The sequence below is a fragment of the Homo sapiens genome, chromosome 13 (assembly GCF_000001405.40).
Source record: "Homo sapiens chromosome 13, GRCh38.p14 Primary Assembly".
NCBI lineage: Eukaryota > Metazoa > Chordata > Mammalia > Primates > Hominidae > Homo > Homo sapiens.
The window spans coordinates 49,811,332-49,833,168 of record NC_000013.11 but is presented as its reverse complement, the minus strand read 5'-3'; the positions used below and the strand labels follow the sequence as shown (position 1 = coordinate 49,833,168).

At 42.9% G+C, this 21,837-nt stretch overlaps 1 annotated feature.

Moving 5' to 3' along the window:
* Positions 20,581–21,082: an enhancer, noted in NCBI's record as "H3K4me1 hESC enhancer chr13:50386223-50386724 (GRCh37/hg19 assembly coordinates)". NCBI's record gives its function as "activates a minimal SCP1, AML or CMV promoter by ChIP-STARR-seq in naive H9 embryonic stem cells {active_cell/tissue: H9 hESC(naive)}" and the evidence as "EXISTENCE:reporter gene assay evidence [ECO:0000049][PMID:30033119]".

The window sequence follows — 21,837 nt, the reverse complement described above, 5'->3', positions numbered from 1 at the left end:
CCTCCCAAGAGCATTGACTTAGATTCTATTTTTTCAGGAAACATCAGCAAGTTTTCTGGGCCTCAGTTTCCTCATCTGTAAAATGAAAGAAATAATAGTACCTAATTCATAGAGATTAAATGAAATTATTCATGTAAAGCACTTAGGTCAGTATTTAGTACACAGTAAGCAGTTGATAAATTTTAGCTATTGTTATCTAGAGCAACCTCTCAATCTTGCAGCTTATAAGGTTCAGAGAGCCTGAGGAACTTGCCCAGGATCACTTAGCAGTCAGTGGCAGAAATAGGATGAGAACCCAAAGGGATGCACTTTTTATACTTGAATGAACATCAAGAACATAATTGTATTAGTCGGTTCTCACACTGCTATGAAGAAATACCCCAGACTGGGTAATTTATAAAAGAAAGGAGGTTTAATCTCACCGTTCTACATGGCTGGGGAGGCCTCACAATCATGGTGGAAGGTGAAGGAGAAGCAAAGGCACGTCTTACATGGTGGCAGGCAAGAGAGCATGTGTAGGAGAACTGCCCTTTGTAAAACCGTCAGATCTTATGAGACTTATTCACTATCACTAGAACAGCATGGGAAAACCCGCCCCCGTGATTCAATTACCTCCCACTGAGTCCCCCTCCCTCCCATGACATGTGGAAATTATGAGACCTACAGTTCAAGATGAGATTTGGGTGAGGACACAGCCAAACCTATCAATAATACTTACAAACATTATATGTTATAAACATAATACATTATAAGTGATATAATGAACATATAACAATGAAGGCTGGGTGCAGTGGCTCACGCCTGTAATCCCAGCACTTTGGGAGGCTGAGGCGGGTGGATCACCTGGTGGTCAGGAGTTTGAGACCAGTCTGACCAATATGGTGAAACCCCGTCTCTACTAAAAATACAAAAATTAGCTGGGCATGGTGGTGGGCACCTGTAAAATAAAAATAAAAATAATTAAATAAAAAATTTTGAAACAAAACAAGTAACAAAAAAAGAACATGAAACTCTGACCAGTCTCTAAGTAGATAATTTAATAGGCAATATCTACTTCTTCAAAAAGCAATTAATAATAAAACTATTTCAGGATAATTAAAAGAGATAAAATATGAAGCCCCTCGAGAATTTGCATATTTTTGCATCTCCAGTGACTAGAATAATACTGACCTTTCCTGGTTGCACTCTAATCTTTTTGCATCTTTTCTCAATCTTTTTTTACTGCATGTTCCTCTATTTACTCCTGAGGATCCAAAACAGATATGGAAGAGATAAAGAGAACTAAAAGAAACTATTCTGTGCAACTCTAGAAATGTATCTGAAAATAGAGGAAATTGATAGCTTTCTAGTAAAATATAACTTAGCAAAATTGAGCCAAGTAAAGGAAGAAAATCTAAACAGATCAATGCCCACGGAAGAGACTAGAAAGGCAATTTAAATCTAACAGTTGAAAAAGCACCAGTCTCTGGTGGTTTTGTATCTGTATTCTGTTACCCTTTACCGCAGTGCTACTCAGCTGGTTACAGAACTGTTTGCTACCAGCCCGCAAAAAGTTAAGGAGCTTGCACTGGAACATAAATCAGTATATTGCTTCCTTCATCAACAAAGTCTTTGCTAAAAAACAAAAAACAAAACTCAGCTAAATAGTACATTCGAGCTAAATAGTATGTTTGATTTATACTTTAGTGCCTGCAGAACACATTTTGAGTAGCATTGCTTTATGAATAGATAATTTCTGTTATGTAAACTCTTTCAGGCTATAGGAAAAAAACCACTAAAAATCTCTAAAACATTGTATGAAGGCATCTCAATCTACAAATCTAAATAAGATACTAACAGAAAAAAAAGAAAGAAGAGAAGAGAAAAGGAAGGAAAATAAATACTCTAGATATTAGAGATTTCATAGAGAACAAGTCAGAGTATTGGCTGGAGGAGATTATGGTTTAGTGGAGGGAGACTGGGCACAGTATAAAAACAATATGCTGGCAAGTACTACTAAGAAGATAAAATAGGGAAATGTGGTGAGTTACTGGGGTGGGGAAAATCCACTTTAGCTGCTGTAACAGAGATCATCGTTTTTTGAAAATATAAAAATTTAAATAGTTAACACATGCACTTTGTACAAAATTCAAAAGCTATAAAAGTCAGGAGAGGCTGCCAATTTGGGGGAATAGGTGGAAATTCCAAATAGTTCAAAACGATTGTGACACTTGAGAGAAGGAAGAGCTGGGGGTATGGGTTATGACACTTCTGCCCAGCAGCCTTCCAGGTGTGCAGTCCCTAAGAGCCTACAGCCAGGACCTAATGACACTGCATTCAGAAACAATTTAAATTGCAGGAAACAGTTCATTGCCAGTTGTTAATTTATTGCTAGATGTTACTGTTTTTTTAAAAGTGTTTGGGGGAATTGTTCTTCCTCAAAGTGAGAGACGAGCATGTGTACAGGGTATAGAACTATAGCTTTTCTGGGCCCATCACTGAAAAGGGAGCAGTGGGAGAAAGAGAAGAGGACCCATAGGCATTGCACACCTACTGTGTCCCATGCATTTTGCTTGTGTTACTTCCGTTCATGCATATTTGGAAGCCTCTATTCTGAACAAGAGCCCCTTACCCCACTGAAGATCCAAACTAAAGCCGCCTTTCACAGGAACCACAGCAAGAGGCAGCCAGTCAACTGCTCCTGTGGGAGAGAGGGAGGGAAGGGGCAAAACAGGGGCAACAGCATGGGCTGAGAACTTCTCCAGCCTCAGTTCTCCCATGCTGCCACTCACTACATTGCCTCCTTGTTGAACCATCTAAAATTCCCCTCCACACCATTTAATTTCCCCCTCCAACAAAGACCCTCTCCTTGACCAAACCTGACTCATGCTCCTCTGAGCCTTCTTCTCCACTTAGACTCCACTAAGACCTTGGCACCTGTCCTGTCTTTGGCCTGCCTAGCCCAGTATGAACAAGAATATTGCTAAGTCAGTTTAGGGAGAATTCCCTCCATTTTGTGGTCTGATCACCACTGATACCTGAGCAAGTTCCTCATCCTCCACCTTTGATGTCTAAGTCCTTGGCTTTCCTTCAGTGAGAATCCTGCTAGTTCAGTTTAGCAAGAATCTCTCTACCCTTGATGTCTCCTCCTAGTAATTTTTCACCCACCAACCCCGTCACTCTGCTCCTTGACTATAAGTATCCATTTGTCCAAGCTGTGTTCAGAGTTGAGCCTGATCTCTCTCTCCTATTGCAATAGTCTTAAATAAAGTCTTCCTTATAGCATTTCAACAAGTGTCAGAATGACTTTTTTGTAGTGCCCCTACACCTTTGTATACCAGAAGCCCCTAAAATGAGCCTTTGTCATTGTCCTACCTTCAGGCCAGGAAACTGATCAAACTTGATCTTCTCTGCAAATTTACCATCTTCTTTTCCCCTTACTGTTAGTCCATAGCGTAGCATTTACCTCTCAGATTGTCTCTGACACCCTTTAGCACAAGGATTCCCTTATCCATTTTTTTCTTTTCCTTTTTTTTTTTTTTTTTTTTTTTTTTTTTTTGTTTGTTTTTGAGATGGAGTCTCGCTCTTGTTGCCCAGGCTGGAGTGCAATGAAACGATATAGGCTCACTGCAACCTCCACCACCCGGGTTCAAGCAATTCTCCTGCCTCAACCTCCTGAATAGCTGAGATTACAGGCACATGTTACCACGCCCGGCTAATTTTTGTACTTTTAGTAGAGATGGGGTTTAGTCATGTTGGCCAGGCTGGTCTTGAACCCTAACCTCAGGTGATCTGCCCGCCTCAGCCTCCCAAAGTCCTGGGATTACAGGTTTGAGCCACCCTGCCCGGCCACTTTTTTTTTTTTTTTTTTTTTTGAGACAGCATCTCACTCCGTCGCCCAGGCTGGAGTGCAGTGGCACGATCATGGCTCACTGCAGCTTCGACCCTCCTGTAGTCAGGTGATCCTCCTGCCTCAGCCTCCCAAGTAGCTGGGACTACAGGCATGCACCACCACACTTGGCTAGTTTTTGTATTTTTTTTGTAGAGATGGGGCTTCGCCATGTGGTCCATGCTGGTGTCAAACTGCTGGGCTCAATGATCCACCAAACAGCCCCTAGACTGGGGCTTAGCCTTGGAGAATTATTGACCTCACCCAGGAAAAAATTCAAAGATGAGCTGGTGGTGTTAGACAGCAATCTTTTATTGAATGGTACTGCTTCTTGCAGAGCAGGGCGAATTCATAGGCAGTGCACCCAGAGTCAGCAACATATGGGCACTTGGAAACTGTATTTATACTCACTTATGCCCACTTTTAAGTATATGCAAATTAAGGAAAGGTTAATGCAAAATGAGATGGGTTATTTAGAACTTCTTGGAAAGGGATGGTAACTTCTGGGTCATTGCCATGGTATTTATAAACTGTCATGGCACTAGTGGGAGTGTCTCACACTAATAAGCAAGGAGGGCAGGTAGGGAGCACTTTTGTTGCCATCTGCTGGTTTTGGCCAGTTTCTTCACATTATCCTGTCTGAACTAGATCCTATTTTCGTCAGCAGGGTTGTGACCAGAAAACAAGTCCTATCAGTCTCCTACCTCACTTCCCCCTTAGAAATTAGATACACTTCCTGATTTTTTTTTTTTTTTTTTTTTTGAGATGGAGTTTTGCTCTTGTTGCCCAGGCTGGAGTGCAGTGGTACAATCTCGGCTCACTGCAACCTCTGCCTCCTGGGTTCAAGCAATTCTCCTGCCTCAGCCTCCCAAGTAGCTGGGATTACAGGCGAGCACCACTACACCCGGCTGATTTTTGTACTTTTAGTAGAGATGGGGTTTTGCCATCTTGGCCAGGCTGGTCTCGAACTCCTGGCCTCAGTTGATCCACCTGCCTCAGCCTCCCAAAGTGCTGGGATTACAGGCATGAGCCACTGTGTCTGGCCAAAGCCTCCTAATCTTAAGGGGGCTGCAGAGGGGTGAAGGTCCATCTTCTGTAACTACTTCTTGCTGATTTTATGGGCATAGACCCCGCCTAGTATTGGCAGTGTAAAAGTCTCTGGATACCTGACCTAAGAGGCCCAATGGCAGGATGTTTTTCTTTTCCAGGTCCAAAGACCGGATGAGTTGGAAGCCTTGTGCTGGCATCATCTTTATGTGGAATCTAGAAGATACAAAGTTTACGAGGGAGGCTAAACAAGAAAATTACAATTAGGAGGAAGAGAAAAATTAATGCTCCTACCCCCACCCACAGCATCCTGTTATTTATCTATGTGCTTGCAAAACAACAGCCTTAAGTTTCTAGGTTCATAAATGTAGGTTGTGGTGTGCTCCTTTTATGCCCATGGGGAACTCATAAGACACAGGTTTAATCCTGGACAGGTGTACACAGCTAGTGACTCTCTGAAGCTTAACAGCAGTGACAGTATTTATCAATACCTGAAGGGGCCCTTCCATTTTGGTTTTAACTGATGATCAGGGGATCTTTTTTTGAAGTTTTTAGTAACACTAAGTCTTCTGATTGAACCGAGGAGCTATTTATTTTTCTCTGTGGGAAAGGCCAATACTTTATTTTCAAAATTTTTAAAGACCTTTTGAACCTGGCCTAAATTCCAAGGGAAAGGCATAGTGAGGCAGCTGACTCCCTGTTTCCTGTCATGGCCTGAGTTACTTTTTCCATTTTTTTGGCAGGGGGAGGGATTCTCTTTGGCCAGCAGACTTAGAGTCCAATGACTTGTAGCCAATTAAACATTCTAGGCCAGATAGAAGTGGAGGTGGGCATGTATTCATTAGCCCTCAAAGCCCTTTTAAGCAATATAAGAGTCAAAAACTGGCCAGGCGTGGTGGTTCACTCCTGTAATCCCAGCACTTTGGGAGGCCGAGGCGGGTGGATCACGAGGTCAGGAGATTGAGACCATCCTGATCAACATGGTGAAACCCCATCTCTACTAAAAATACAAAAATTAGCCGGGCGTGGTGGCATGCGCATGTAATCCCAGCTACTCGGGAGGCTGAGGCAGGAGAATTGCTTGAACCAGGGAGTCAGAGATTGCAGTGAGCCGAGATCAAGCCACTGTACTCCAGCCTGGTGACAAAGTGAGACTCCGTCTCAAAAAAAAAAAAAAAGAAAAGAAAAAGAGAGTCAAAAACTAAAAGCCAAAAATAAAGTTATATTCAAGGAAAACCACGAGCATAGAATTAAGCTGTATTCAGGAAAAACACTGGTCCCGCAGACCTCTAAGAAAACACTTTAGCATCAGATCACAGCAACTGTCAGAACTGCAGGAGAAAAAGTCACAGGAGCTGATGAAAAAGCTGAAGGAGAGAGTTACACAAATTTGAAAAGCTTTCAAAAGAAATATATCACAGAATGGAAAAGCAAAAGTTCTGGTAATTTAGCAAATGAACACCTAAAGAAAACCCAGTTTCAACACATAGGCTTTTTTTTTTTTTTTTCTTTTCCTTTTCTTGAGACAGAGTCTTACTCTTGTCACACAGGCTGGAGTGCAATGGCACGATCTTGGCTCACTGCTCGAACCTCTGCCTTCCTGGTTCAAGCGATTCTCCTCCTCAGTCTCCCGAGTAGCTGGGATTACAGGCTCACACCACCACGCCCAGCTAATTTTTGTGTTTTTAGTAGATACGGGGTTTCACCATATTGGCCAGGCTGGTCTGGAACTCCTGACCTCAGGTGATCTGCCCACCTTGGCCTCCCAAAGTACTGGCATTACAGGTGTCAGCCACTGCGCTTGGCACATAGATCATTTTCTAGAAAGTCTACCACAAACAATTTCCCATCAATCATAGCCAGCTTAGTCAAACACTTAACTCCCCTCACAAATTCCCCTTCATGAGCCCCTCACAGCCCACACAGACCGTCCATGACATGTCTGGACCCTCTGACCCATCCTACGTCACCTCCCTCCCAAACACCAGTGACTTTATTCTAGTACAAGAATCTACCACACAAGATTTCTCGTTACACAAGATCATTTAAAAATATATATATTCCACCCCACCAAAAAAAAAAAGTCTTCTATCCATAACTCACCACATATCTCTCTTTTTTATTCGCAGATTCCTTTATATTTTGAACCTCCCTTTTAATAATTTCTGAATTGAACAAGTTATTCTTTTTCACAATAAAGAATATATATCTTCCCTGGTACATTATATATAAATTTAGAAAGCAAAGAATCCTGAACTATCAGATATTGACATTCTATAGATGAGAACCACTCTATAATTTTAAGATTGATTGATTGATTGATTGATTGATTGATTGATTGATTTTGAGACAGGGTCTCACTGTCACCCAGGCTGGGGTGGAGTGGTACAGTCTCAGCTCACTGCAATCTCCACTTCCTGGGCTCAAGCGATCCTCCCATGTCAGCCTCCCAAGTATCTGGGATTACAGGTGCATGCCACCATATCCAGCTAATTTTTGTATTTTTTGTAGAGATGGGATTTCATCATGTTACTCAGGCTGGTCTCAAACTCCTGCTCAAGCAATCTGCCTGCGTTGGCCTCCCAAAGTGCTGGGATTACAGGTGTTAGCCACCATGCCCAGCCAATCTTAAGATTTTAAACTACACAAAAAGTTCAACATTTAAAGCCATTTTAACCATTCTAAAGCCTATGAAAATTAGTATTTTATCTAAGTAAAAAGCTTAAAGTTAAATTTTAGAAGTCACAATATTCCCTTCAAACTAACAAATTTAGTCCTATTTGTTTAATTTATGAGTGCTCTTTTATTTATAAGCCAATGTTTTGGTTTTGTTTTGTTTTGTTTTGTCTTATTTTTGTTTCCGAGATGGAGTTTCACTCTTGTTCCCCAGGCTGGAGTGCAACGGGATGATCTCTGCTCACTGGAACCTCTGCCTCCCAGGTTCAAGTGATTCTCCTGCCTCAGCCTCCAGAGTAGCTGGGATTACAGGTGCACGCCACCACACCCAGCTAATTTCCGTGCTTTTAGTAGAGGTGAGGTTTCACCATGTTGGCCAGGCTGGTCTCGAACTCCTGATCTGAGGTAATCCACCTGCCTCAGCCTCCTAAAATGCTGGGATTACAGGCCTGAGCCACTGTGCCCAGCCTATGAACCAATTTGATAGCATGCTAGACACAACACACATCACACAAATGAAGTGACCTATACAAGACAGCTGGATCTGTTATTTACAAAATTGGGACCTGTCTACCTGGCCAAATATCGTTTGCTCCAATAGGTATGGAAGACAGGAAGAGGCAGGGAAGGGGATCTTGTAGCATCAAATAAGGAAAGGAAGGGGCAAAGCCCATTGCTAAAGGGGAGACCTCAGAGTCCCTGAGCTGCTAGAGAGGTCACCCAGCAGCAGAGACACGGAAGAAGAATGTTTGGGTGGCTACTTGTCTGCCACTGTGGGAAGCTAACCATTGGATCAAGGGTCCGGGATTTGATCCAAAGGTTCTTTTCAGGACCATCATCTTTCCTGGCAGATGGTGGAGCTGAGTGGATAGATGAGCAGCCATAGCGCAGGGTTTCAAAGCTCTGGCTTACTTGAGCAAGGCAGCTTGTTGGGGCTAGTGGAAGAAGGTTAGTTCTAACATGGACAGGGAGCTTTTTCATCTCAGGAGGGATGATTAAGACATTCTTATTGCTGATTACCCTTTTGCTTATAGTAGGCATACTGATTCTGTCCTGGGGGCTAGCAAGTTGGGGCTCTTGTCTAGGTATCCCAGACACCAATGTCGAGACACTTTCTGGGGATGGGTAACCCTGAGGTTGAAGGGTGCTTACAGCATCACCAATAATTGTTCTTTTTGGTTATTTCTTTTGGTCTTTTCCATTTTTGCCCTGTCTCTATTGTTATAAATTTTAAAGGCCATGTTTAAGGCTTGGTTCATAGCGGATTGAGGTCTCACTGCTACTTTGTGTAGCTTCCTCCTAATGTCAGAGCAAATTGAATAATAAAATGCCTACCCAGGAGAGCTTGCCCTTCCAGGCAGTCTGAGTCTGTATTAGTATATTTCTTGAGTTCCTCCACCAAACTACCCAGAAAGAGTGAGATTTTCATCTTTACCCTGAATTACATCTCTAACCTTTTCATAACTGAGAGGCTTAGCCACACACTTTCCTCTGCTTTTTCTCTATGGCATAGCAAGTGGGCAACAATGCTTGCAAGTCATACCAAGCTAAAGAACATGGTCAATTTAACAAACTCTTCTATAAACTTTAATGAATTCTCTGAAAACTGGCAGAATTTTTCCTTGCATAGAGCCAAATCAGACATAGAAAATGGCATGTGTATTCTAAGTGTCCCCCCATCTCCATCAACTACCTCCCACAATGGACACAGCTTTGACTTCAGGGGCTGATATGGAGCCCCATTTCTAGGGATACTGGTTGGGCTACTTTTTCCGACAGCAGAGGGTTTAGGCTGGGGCTAGCTGAATAACAGGGAGGAGTGCCTGATGACCTTGGGTGGAGTCCTGTGTTAGAGAACTGGCAGGAACCCCTCCAAATTGGGAGACTGAGGAGGCTCTGGGGAGGGAGTAGGCCTTCTAAGAGAAGCAGCTAGGAGGGGATCCCTTAGGCGTGGCTTCCTGGTGCCTTGAAGTAACATTGAGTCAGTAAAGGGCCATAAAAGCCTGTACATAAGGGACCTCGTCCCATTTTCCTTCTTTTTAATGTTAATTGTAAAATAGCATTATAATGCATAGAACCATGTTTAGGCTAAATGTCTTGGTCTTCTCATTTGTATTGGACCCAAGTGGTGTTGCAATAGGAAATGAGTTTCTTTTTCTTTAAGCCAAAATTGAATTTGCTCCAATAGCCTGAAAGGCATCCTAACGGTGAGTCCTCAGGTATGCTTATCATTGTCTCCATGTCTAACGATGATTTCTACTGGACATAGAAGTTCTTCTGAGTCTAGTGAGAGGGAAAGCAACGGGGCCCTTTCTATTTTCCTTTCCAATTTCCACTTCCTGCAGAGAAGGAGTAAGTATAGGTAGCAACGTGTTATGAAAGTGGCTTATAAAGTGAATGAAATGTGACAAAAGAAGTATTTTCATTAAGCAAGTTATAGTGGGAAAAGTGTAAATAAAGTGGCAATAACAAAAGGAAATGCTGTTATGGGAAACGATAACTTTAGGGTAGAAAATGAGAAAAGGCAAGACCAAGATTCCCCTTAGGTAGGCTCCTACCCCACAATCCTAGTGAATGCCAATGCCAAAAACCCGGGAGTGCCTGGGGCGGCCAACAATACCAAATGCTGAAAACCCACAGTAACCGAGTAGTGGCCAATGAGAGTCCCCACACCCAATGCCAAAAATCCCAGAGCATCCAGGGGGCGGCCAAAGACCAAGTTGGGGCCACAGAACAACATGACTCTGGCATCCCAGGGTCAACACAACAGGGTACCTCTCATAACCAAGTGTTCAGCCTTAAACAATTGCCCAAATAGAGTTAGCAGGAAGCCAAAGCAAAAACTGCAAAGAAAACATATATTTCAAGGTGAGAAATAAAATAAAATGGCTGACAGAAAAATAAAATCGTGTTAGAGGAGAAACGACCTAGAAAAGGGGCAATAGGGATGTAATTAGGGATGCTATGGCAGACTTTGAATTGACTGTCTAAGCCAAAGGCCTTATTTTCCTGGCTCACCTGATATTTGGGGGATGAGTCAAAAGGGATACTTACCTGTCCACAGGAGCCAAAATAGGGCCAACTGGTCTCTGATGTACAGTGCAGGTGAAGGTTTGCTCCCCAGGTTTCCCCGGCTTGGGCAGGCTTGGTTGCTGCGAGGGAATTGGCATGTGATCCTGCAGCCTCCCAGCCAGAGCTTTGAATCCCTGCACTATGGCTACTCACCTATCCACTCAGCTCAACCATCTGCCAGGAAAGATGATGGTCCTGAAAAGAACCTTTGGTTAGTGTTCCAGCTCTCTGCAGCTTTGATCCTTACAGCACTGACTGACTGCCACATCACCACCTCTCTCTGATTGCCGCCTCTCACCATCTCACTGGTCACTGTCTTGCCATCTTGCTGTCTCACCATTTCTCCATCTCTCAAGTATTTCTTATCATTTGGCCTCTTTGCTAATTGCTATTGTCTTGCCATCTTGCCGCTGATGACTGCCATTTCTGCTGTCTCGACGCCACATTGGTCACTTCCTCCCACTCACTATCTTCATCCCTTTGTGGCCACCAGATGATGCAGAACAGGTGAGCCCCAAGATTGAGGCTTAGCCCAGAAGGGTTCTTGGCTTTGCCCAGGAAAGAATTCAAGGGCAAGCCAGTGGTTTTAGACAGCAACCTTTTCCTGAACAGTACTGCTTCTTGTGGAGCAGGGCTAACTCACAGGCAGTGCGCCTAGAATCAGCAAGGTATGGGCTGTCAGCAACTGTACTTATACTCACTTATATTCACTTTCAACTATTTGAAAAATTAAGGGGAGGGTTAATGCAAATTGAGGGGTGGGTTATTTAAAGCTTTCTAGGAAAGAGTCAGTGACTTCTGGGGCATTGCCAGAGAAAAGGGTGGTAACTTCGGGGTTGTTGGCATGGCATTTGTAACTTGTCACGGCACTGGTGGGAGTGTCTTATGCTAATGAGCAATGAGGGCAGCTAGGGATTGCTTTTGTCACCATCTGCTGGTTTTGGCCAGGCTCTTCACTTTATCTTGTCTGGACTAGATTCTGTTTTGGTCAGCGGGATTGTGACCAGAAAGCAAGTTCTGCTGGTCTTCTATCTCACTATCACATGATAGGCACTCAAAAAATGCTTATTGTATTGTATAAATGCTCTCACTTGATCCTAACTTAAGACTAAAGTAGCCACCAGTGTCCCACATTACCAAAGAGGACATTGGTTCAGAGCATTTATGTAATTTGCCCGAGGTTATTCCACTAATATGGCAGAGCTGGGATTCAAACCTAGGTCTTTCCCACTCCAAAATGCCACCTCACTAGAAGTGCTGTTGATAGGGAAGGTGGATGAAAGGAGAGATAAAGTGAAGGGCCTGCCATAAGTGATCAGTGATTTGGCTTTAACTAAAGATCATCTTTCTCTTTTTCTCTTTATCTCTTTTCTTCCATTCTAAGCTCTTTTTATTGGAAGTCATTGGTAAGCTTGGCTTTAATATGGTAAGCTTGGCTTTCATATGGATTCTAGACTGGACAACCAGAAGTCTTAACAACTAGAGGGAGGTTGCATCCCAGAATAAAATTTTATTAGAACTAAATCCTAAATTCAGGGTGACCTGAGGCCATGGGGCAGTCTCCAGACATTTCCCTGAGAATAAACCAAGCTCTTCTCTGTTCCCCACTCCCCAGTAAGATGGCAAAAACAGAGATAAGGTGTCAAAGTCCAAAAGCCTCCTGACTCCGCCCCCACCTTTGCCTGGCTTTGAATATTTGCCCTTTCTCCCCATCCCCCATTAGAAAAAGACAGTCATTGTTGAGAATGTGCATGAATTTGACACAACCCTTCCAGACAGAGAGAGGAGACTCTTTGGCTGGCTCCAGAACCTGAAGTCAAGTTCCGGTGCTTTCTAAACAAGCACACTCTCACATCTCATAATGGTATCACAGCTAGGGTATAATTCTCTAAGTGTCAGAGAACTTAAGCATTTCACAAGTTCTTTCAAGTGCAGTTGTTTCTGGGTATCTGTTCAAACTCTCTTTATCGTCATCCCCTCTGGCTTTCAAGCCTTCCCTAAGACATAAATATACTCCTGTAAAAGCATACCCTTCTTCACTTTCCATCTACAATAACTCCTTGGAAAGCTGAGGCCGATCAATCAATCAATCAGACAGTATTGATTCTCTACTAAAGTGCTTTCTTCAGGTTTTTTAAAATAAATTTTTTGAATAGATGATTCGTGCACATTATTAAAATGCCAAAACTACAACCAAAAGGTATATGGTGAAATGTGAGTCTCCTTTCTATCTCTATACCAATCTGTTATAGATTCAAACATGTTCTGTGCATATTCAAGCTCTTTTTCCCTTTTACACAAATGATAATGTAATAAATACTGTTTTCCACCTAATCTATCTAGGAGATAGGTCCACATCCATTCAGGTAGATCTAAAGATTTTGGTGACTACAGAGCATTGTTATTTTGTGATGTACCAGTTGGGTTTGAAGTCAGGGACTCATCAAACCACAACTTAGAAATATCCCCCAGTCTTACACTAGACTTATAGATAAAACTTGAAGGGTAAAAATGCTTGATGAGAAACCATACAATCAAACAACTGTTTGATTACCAGAGTGCAAAAGACACCTGTAGAGAAAGGATGCGCTCTCCTTGTATTATATATAAAACTTCAGGCCGGGCGCAGTGGCTCACGCCTGTAATCCCAGCACTTTGGGAGGCCAAGGCGGGCAGATCACGTGGTCAGGAGACCGAGACCATCCTGGCTAACACGGTGAAACCCCGTCTCTACTAAAAATATTTAAAAAATTAGCCAGGCATGGTGGCGGGAGCCTGTAATCCCAGCTACTTGGGAGGCTGAGGCAGGAGAATGGCATGAACCCGGGAGGCAGAGCTTGCAGTGAGCCAAGATCGCGCCACTGCACTCTAGCCTGGGCGACAGAGCAAGACTCCGTCTCAAAAAAAAAAAAAAACCTTCATTAGGCAAAGGTAAATGTCCCTCAACCCCCTACCTCCTTGGTTTTGGGGACTCAGTAGTTTTGGAGCCCTTATAACCAAGGGAAAGAGTGTAGGCTATTCATGTGAGGGAATTAGACACGTTCCACTAAAGAAGAGATTTGTCTCAATCTTCACCTGTATCAAGGTGATAACTGTTTTCAGTTACAGTCGTGCACCTCATAAAGACATTTCAGTCAATGATGGACCGCATATAGGAGAGTGATCTCATGAAATTATAACACTGAATTTTTACCGTACCTTTTCTTTCTTTCGGTTTTTTAAATTAATTTTTTTTTCGGAATTTTGCTCTTGTTACCCAGGCTGGAGTGCAGTGGTGCAATCTCAGCTCACTGCAACCTCTGCCTCCTGGGTTCAAGTGATCCTCCTGCCTCAGCCTCCCTAGTAGCTGGGACTACAGGCGCATGCCATCACGCCCAGCTAATTTTTGTATTTTTAGTAGAGACGGGTTTCACCATGTTGGCCAGGCTGGTCTTGATTTCTTGACCTTGTGATCCGCCCGTCTCGGCCTCCCAAAGTGCTGGGATTACAGGCATGAGCCACTGCACCCAGCCACCTTTTCTATATTTAGATATGTTTAGATAGACATACACGTACGATTGTGCTACAATTGCCTACAATATTCAGTACAGTAATATGCTGTACAGGTTTGTGACCTAGGAGGGATAGGTTATAGCATTAGCCTAGGCATGCAGCATGCTGTACAATCTAGGTTTGTGTGAGAACATGACGGGGTTCATACAATGACGAAAACTCCTAATGATGCATATCTCAGAACACATCTCTGTTATTAGGTGACACATGACTATATCATGAGTTTCCTTTAGCTATTAATCTTTTGTTCCCTTGTGGAAAAGCTGGGACAGTCAAGGATTGGGGAAAAAAAGTAGGATCAAATGAAGATGTGAGGGACCTGAGGGAGAGGGCTCCTAGGTAGGGAGGTGGCCAGCTCTGTGACTGTGGTTTCTAAATCCAATTTGTCACTAAAGGGAACCAGGGCGTCCTTGGATAATCACTGATTCCAGAGCTGAGGCAAGAAACGGACATTTTGGGCCGGGCCTGGTGGCTCACGCCCATAATCAAAACACTGGGAGGCTAAGGTAGGCGGATTGCTTGAGCCCCAGAGTTTGAGACCGGCCTGGGAAACGTGGCGAAACCCTGTCTCTACAAAAAAAGAACTGCACTGGGAGGCCGAGGCGGGCGGATCACGAGGTCAGGAGATTGAGACCATCCTGGCTAACACCGTGAAACCCCGTTTCTACTAAAAATACAAAAAAATTAGCCGGTCATGGTGGTGGGCGCCTGTAGTCCCAGCTACTCGGGAGGCTGAGGCAGGAGAATGGTGTGAAACTGGGAGGCGGAGCTTGCAGTGAGCCCAAGCTTGCAGTGAGCCGAGACTGCACCACTGCACTCCAGCCTGGGCAACAGAGGGAGACTCCGTCTCAAAAAAAAAAAAAAAAGAACTGCAAAAATTAGCTGGGCATGGTGGTAAGTGCCTATAGTCCCAGCTACTTGGGAGGCTAAGGCAGGAGGATTGCTTCTGCCCAGGAGGCGGAGGTTGCAGTGAGCTGAGATTGTGTCACTGCACTCCAGCCTGGATGACAGAGGGAGACTCTCTGTCTCTCTCTCTCAAAAAGAAAGAAAAGAAAAGAAATAGACATTTTGACATGCTGGAAAGTAACGAAGCTTTCAGAGATGACTTGGTTGTGTCCTAAATGCTTAGGTTAGGAACCAATAGAAAGAAACTCACTGTTCAAAGATGGAATAATTCAAGCATCCACACTGGATTGAAATACATCAAATATGTTAAAATCCATGAGTTTATAATTATACCAGAAAAAAAATTCTCATAGGTCACCTTTACGGGTTGCTAGGGAACCAACTCATTACTCTGAAAACTGATTTAAAAAGGGAAAGAATTGAGCATTTGTCTTTTGTATATGAACTGTATTTCAGGGTAACTAAATTGTTGTTGAGGGAAAGGTCTTCTTTTAGAAGCATTTCAGCTAATAGATGAAGGAGGAATGATAGAATTAGAATACCATAATTTTGCAATCATAGAAATAATGTATCCAAGCACTGGTCATCAATGGCTGTTAAAACTATTAGGGGAAATGCTGATGGGGAACTCTCTAATGGATGGACTAAGCTGGCAATACCCGAATCCTCTAATTAATCTTAACATTACAAAAATGGGAGGGAAGCAGACATGTGCCCCTGATGAGATGCAAAAGCTCGCAACACCACCTATGAAATAACCTTGTCAAAATATCAAGCTGGAATTGTTCAAGGCTGTAGATCTAGCAGACACTTTTCAGGAAATACAGGGCTTAGGGAAACAGGTGGAATGACACCACAGGGATGCAATCAGCAAAATTCAGAATGTGGGAAACTCAACAGGACAAATGGCCCAGTTTCTCCAACAAATAAATTGGAAGAAAAAAAAGAAAAGAAAAGAAAAGAAGACAGGGCAGCTTGTTACTGAAAAGAGAGCCAGTAGACATATTAGCCAACTGCAGGTGTGAATCATGTTTGAATACTAATTTAAACAAATTGTAGAAAAAAATTATGAGAAAATTGGAGACATTTGAACTCTGAATATTTGTCAATATTAACGAAGTTTCTTAGGTGTGATAAGGACGTCATGGTTATGCTTTTTAAAAAAACAGAATCCTTTTTTTTTTGGAGCTACATACTAAAATATGTATGAATGAAATGATATGAAGTCTGGGATGCATCTCAAAATAATCCAGAAAAGTGGTAGAAAATAGGGGAGAGAATAAGGGTTAGAGAGAAATAGATGAAATGGAATTTCCACACGTTGATAATTGTTGAAGCCTAATGATGGTCCATTACATTATTTTACCTATTTTGTATATCTTTGAAGTGTTCTATAATATAAAGTGTTTTAAAAGTGGGTGTGAGGGTGGCTGGGCATGGTGGCTCACGCCTGTAATCCCAGCACTTTGGGAGGCTGAGGTGGGCGGATCACTTAAGCTCAGGAGTTCGAGATTAGCCTGGGCAACATGATTTAACCCCGTCTCTACCAAAAATACAAAAAAAAAAAAAAAATTAGCCGAGTGTGGTGGCAGGCACCTGTAATCCCAGCTATTCGGGAGGCTGAGGCAAGAGAATCTCTTGAACCCGGGAGGTGGAGGTTGCAGTGAGCCAAGATCGCACCACTGCACTTCAGCCTGGGCGACAAGGCCAGACTCTGTCAAAAAAAAGAAAGAAAGAAAGAAAGAGAGAAGGAAAGGAAAGGAAAGGAAAGGAAAGGAAAGGAAAGGAAAGGAAAGGAAAGGAATGGAAGAAGGAAGGAAGGAAGGAAAGAAAGAAAAAAAGAAAGAAAGAAGAAAGAAAGGTTTTCTGTGACAAATGGGAATAATAATCCCTATTTTCTAACTGCAGGGCCAACATACAGGTTACCCTTTGTACTATTTTTCCTTTAGTAACCAATAATTTAAGGTAGACCCTCAAGAACTAGTTCAGGGGAGATATGCTTCTTTTCATAGACAAAAAGGCCCCCAAACCAAGGCTGGTCCTAGAATCTGATTAGCTGAGGTGTGGGTGGACTTTTCAGGTATCTCAGCAATGAGCAGGGCCAGCACTTGACTGGGTGATGAGGTCATGAGAGAGGCATAGCAGGCTCCCATGTCACCCTTCCTCTCTCTCTTTTATTTCTTCCTGCCTCTTTTGTGCTGCTTTGCCACTACCAGTAGCAGGGCTACTTTGTACAGTTGTGCAGGCAGTGCACTGTACAACTCCAGGGAACTACAGAATCTGGGTGAATGGAGCCTCCTGGACTTGTGCAGCATGACTGCCTCCAGCAGAAGCCTAGTCTTCTCCTGCGGTCTCTGAGTTTGGAGTTCTTAGTCCTAAACATAGCTACTTCCTCAGGACCCAGGCTTTAGTCTCTGCTAAGGTCAATGGGTAATAATGGCTTAGGTCATATTAGAATCTTTTTTTTTTTTTTGAGACAGAGTCTTGCTCTGTCACCCAGGCTGGAGTGCAGTGGTGCGATCTTGGCTCACTGCAACCTCCGCCTCCTGGGTTCAAGTGATTCTCCTGCCTTAGCCTCCCGATTAGCTGGGAGTACAGGTGCGTGCTACCATGCCCGGCTAATTTTTTGTATTTTTAGTAGAAACGGGCTTTCAGCATGTTGGCCAGGCTGGTCTCGAACTCCTGACCTCGTGATCCACCCGCCTTGGCCTCCCAAAGTCCTGGGATTACAGGCGTGAGCCACTGCACCCAGCCTAGATCATATTAGAATTTTTAAGTTGGTATTTGTCTAATATTTTTACTGTCTTTCTCATAATGGTAAAATTCCTGTATGCATTAGTCAGGATAAGCTAACAAACAAGGTCCAGATCTCAGTCATTTAACATAAGTAACATAAATAAAGGATGATCTTTTGCTTGTGTCACAATCCAGTGTGGAGTGCAGGAGAAAGAGGATCTGGCCCCTTGGCCATCTGAGGCCTCTGTCAATACCTCAGAGAAGTCCTTCACTGAGTCTGGTGAAAGCGGGGAAAGGTCATGAAAGGCATCCCCATCTGCATGGCCTCTGACTGGAGGTGACACACATCACCTTCACTCACAGTCCATCAGCAAGGACGAGGAGATAAGGAGAATGTCAAGGAAGGCAGTGCTGATGTTTAAGCTTAAGAACAACCAGCTAGGCTCAGCCATACCATGGGTAGTAACAATGCCTTATTCTAGTTAAGTGAACAAACGTCCACCCCAGAGTGCTGATGCTAACGTAGAAATTCCTGGCCTCCCAGAGAGGTGAGGGAGAGAGAGTTATGTGGCCGGACGCCTTCCTGGTCCTTTTGTAGCTGTGGGCAGGTAGACTCCTTACTTCACCCACCAGGTGGTAACTGCTTTCAGAGCAGGAATATTTGGATGGGGAAATATTCAGCCACGTCTCCTTTATATAAAAGGCTGGAGGCCCAGGAGTTTTTAAATGAAGGGAGGGAGTCCATGGATGTGCTTCAAGGGTTTGGTGATTCCCTGGAAACCGTAAGTAAAATTTTGTGTTCATGTGCAATTTTCTGGGATCAGAGTCCATAATTAGGCACATAGAAGACATTCAATAAATATTCCTTCTAAAAACTCACAAAAGGGTCTGTGTTAGTCAGTGTTCTCCAGAGAAACAGAACTAATAGGATGTGTCTATAAAGAGATTTATTTTAAAGAATTGGCTCATGACTGTGGAGGCTGGCAAGTCTCAAACCTGCAGGGTGGGCTGGCAGGCTGGAGACCAGGAGGAGCCAAGGCTTCAGTTAAGGTCTGAAGGTCGTCAGGCCAGAGAATCCCCTCTTGCTCAGGGGGAGTCAGTCTTTTGTTCTTTTCAGGCCCTCAGTGGAGTCAATGAGACCCACCCATATCAGGGAGGGCCATCTGCTATACTCAGAGTCCACCAATTGAAAAGTTAGTCTCACCCAAAAACACCCTCACAGAAATGTCCACAATAAGGTTTGACCATATACATCTGGGCACTATCACTTAGCCAAAGTGAGACATAAAATTAACCATCACAGAGTCCTTGACCCAGACAAAAGGCAAAGGTTAGGAACTACTGTTTTAAGAAGTTTCTGCCATTCTCCCTACCTCTCATCAGCTAGTTTCTATGCCTGGTCCAGCTTGCTTACTCTGGTGGCATGTAACCACTCCCTTCTAGCAACTTTCCATCTATTCCACACTGAGAAAATTGGAGCAGGAATACCCAATTGAACTTTTGTAAATGTTAAAGAAAGGATTACTGTTTTCCAGGATTTTTTGTTTGTTTGTTTAAGTTTTGACAGAATCTCTAGAAATGTTGCTTAATCAAAACATTTTAATCTTCCTTTTCTGTATGTGTCAGTGATGGTATAATTGGCTAAGATATGTATCTTTCAGTTTATATTTTACATCCTTGCTTCTAGTCATTTGTGTTGAAGAAATCCTCCAGCAAAATGAAGTTCCTTGAAATCACAGATTATACCTTATTCCTTTGCAATTCTCTACAGCGTTAAAAATGCTACCGGCACAGACACAAACACTCATTAACTGGTGGTGTTGTCACATTCTGTTTTATTTGACTCCACTAACATTAATCCACCAGCTAGCCCTGGTATTAAAAATAGTCCATATTTATCTTTCAGATTGTCACTTAACTTGGACATCTCTACCTTGATTTCACAGAAAGAGCTGCACATACAGAAGACAGAGGCAAGGCTGGGGCAAGAATCTTCTTACTTTCTGGTTATTTCTTTGCATAGGTAAAGTCCAGGGATTTAATGCAGATATTCTCTTCCATCTCCTTTAGCTTAACTTAATCCTCATCTGAAAAAGTCCAGTGAGGTGGGTTTGCAAGAAAAAACTCTTTCTGTTCATTCTTCTTCAGGGCCCCTACTCATGCTGTAATGTGGTATGGCTGAGACTTCCCTTCCTTGCCCTGGGAAAGAAAGGATGTTCTGTTTCGTGAAGTATTAAGGGACCTGGATAGGTCAGTGCTGCTCTATTAATATAAAATGAGATTATTCACCAGCTGTTGTTTCCTGGCTTTCAGCAGAGCCATTGAAACGTTTGCAAAATAGCAGAGGGTTCCAGATGGGAGGAGCCATTGTTCAAAGTCCAGACCACCCAGCGGGCATGTCAGGTAATGGGCTTCACATCTGACCCCTGTAGAAATTTGATAACACATTAAGGGTGTCATATGATTGGTCTGCGCCATTGGGGAAAATACCCTCCTTTTCCTTCCTGCTGACTTCTTTTTCCCCATTATCTTCCCTCTCCTCTTGTAGGACCACAAATCCTCCCAAAAACCTATTCAAAAGAAGTTACTAGATTAAGTTAAAATTAAACTTAGTTAAAAAAGATAGCAAATGTTGCTTTGTTGTCAAATTTGTCTTCTGCAGCTCACAACATGACCTGCTCATGTGTTTGATTTTCATAGACTCGTAAGACATTATCTGCAATGGACGAAACAATGGCAGAGAAAGGTATCTATGTAGAGCAGCAAGCCCCTCAGATTTAATGTGCATGCAAATCAACTGGGGTTCCTGTTCAATTGATTCAGTAGGCCTGGAAGGGGCCCAAGAATCTGCATTTCTAACAAGCAACCAGGGGATGAGGAACTCTGAGTGGCAATGGTCTGGATTGGATGTTGTTTAACTGCTTCCATTTTGTAGCACGTCTGTCAATTTGCCCAAGCTATAGAAAATACAGGGTGACAAACTTTTCTCCTTAAAACTTTGAATTCCTTAATTCTTTGTTACAGAAATATATGAGGATAGAGCATTGTCCATTATCCATTTTTTAAAAAAAGTTTCTTTCTACTGATGATCATTCAACCTTCATTACCATTTTTGTTGCTTTTCCACTGTGAGCACAGAACACCTATTTTCTATCTGGATCCAGTATACTAAGCTATAACCACCTCTCCCAGGAAATCATGTGTTTGCTGGGAGTGAATTTTTCAGAAGGCACCTTGGCCTCATGACAGGGAGGGTCTGATTCCAACTCTGCCAATGAAGAACTGACAGACCCTGGACAAGCTGTCTTGCCTCTCTGATCAATTGCTGTACCTAAAATAGTGTGCACTGTGTTGGGGGAAGCAACTAAAATTTTTGAAAAAAATTTAATTTTTTATTTAGTATTTTTTATAGGGATGGGGTCTCACTATGGTGCCCAAGTTGGTTCAAACTCCTGGACTCAAGCGATCTTTCCTTGACGGCCTCCCATAGTGCTGGAATTATAGGCATGAGTTACCACTCCACACCGAAAATAAAAAAAAAATTTTTTGAGTGGGAAAATAGAACTATCAACTTCACAGGATTATTTTAAGCTTTAAATGAGATAGTGTATGCAAATTACTTACTATATTACATGAAGTAAGAACTAATCCTCATAAAGCCATGTGTAATGCTCCATAAAGTAAGCTTAAAAACAAACAAACAAACCCCTGAAATTTACATTCAGAATTGCTAAAATGTTTTCCTGTAAACCATATTGGAAGGAAATCGTTCCAAGACATCTCCCATCCCCTGCCTTGTTTAATGGTGTCTACTGAATTTACTTTAGCTCTTTCCTCATGACTCAGGGTCCCTGTTTTGCAATGAGTGACTGCACTGTCCTGGAACACAGGGATGACCTCAGTCAGGGGTTTTTCTACCGTCCACCCTCCCCGCCCCTCTCCCCCACCCACACTCTCACAGACCTGTTCATAGTTCCATA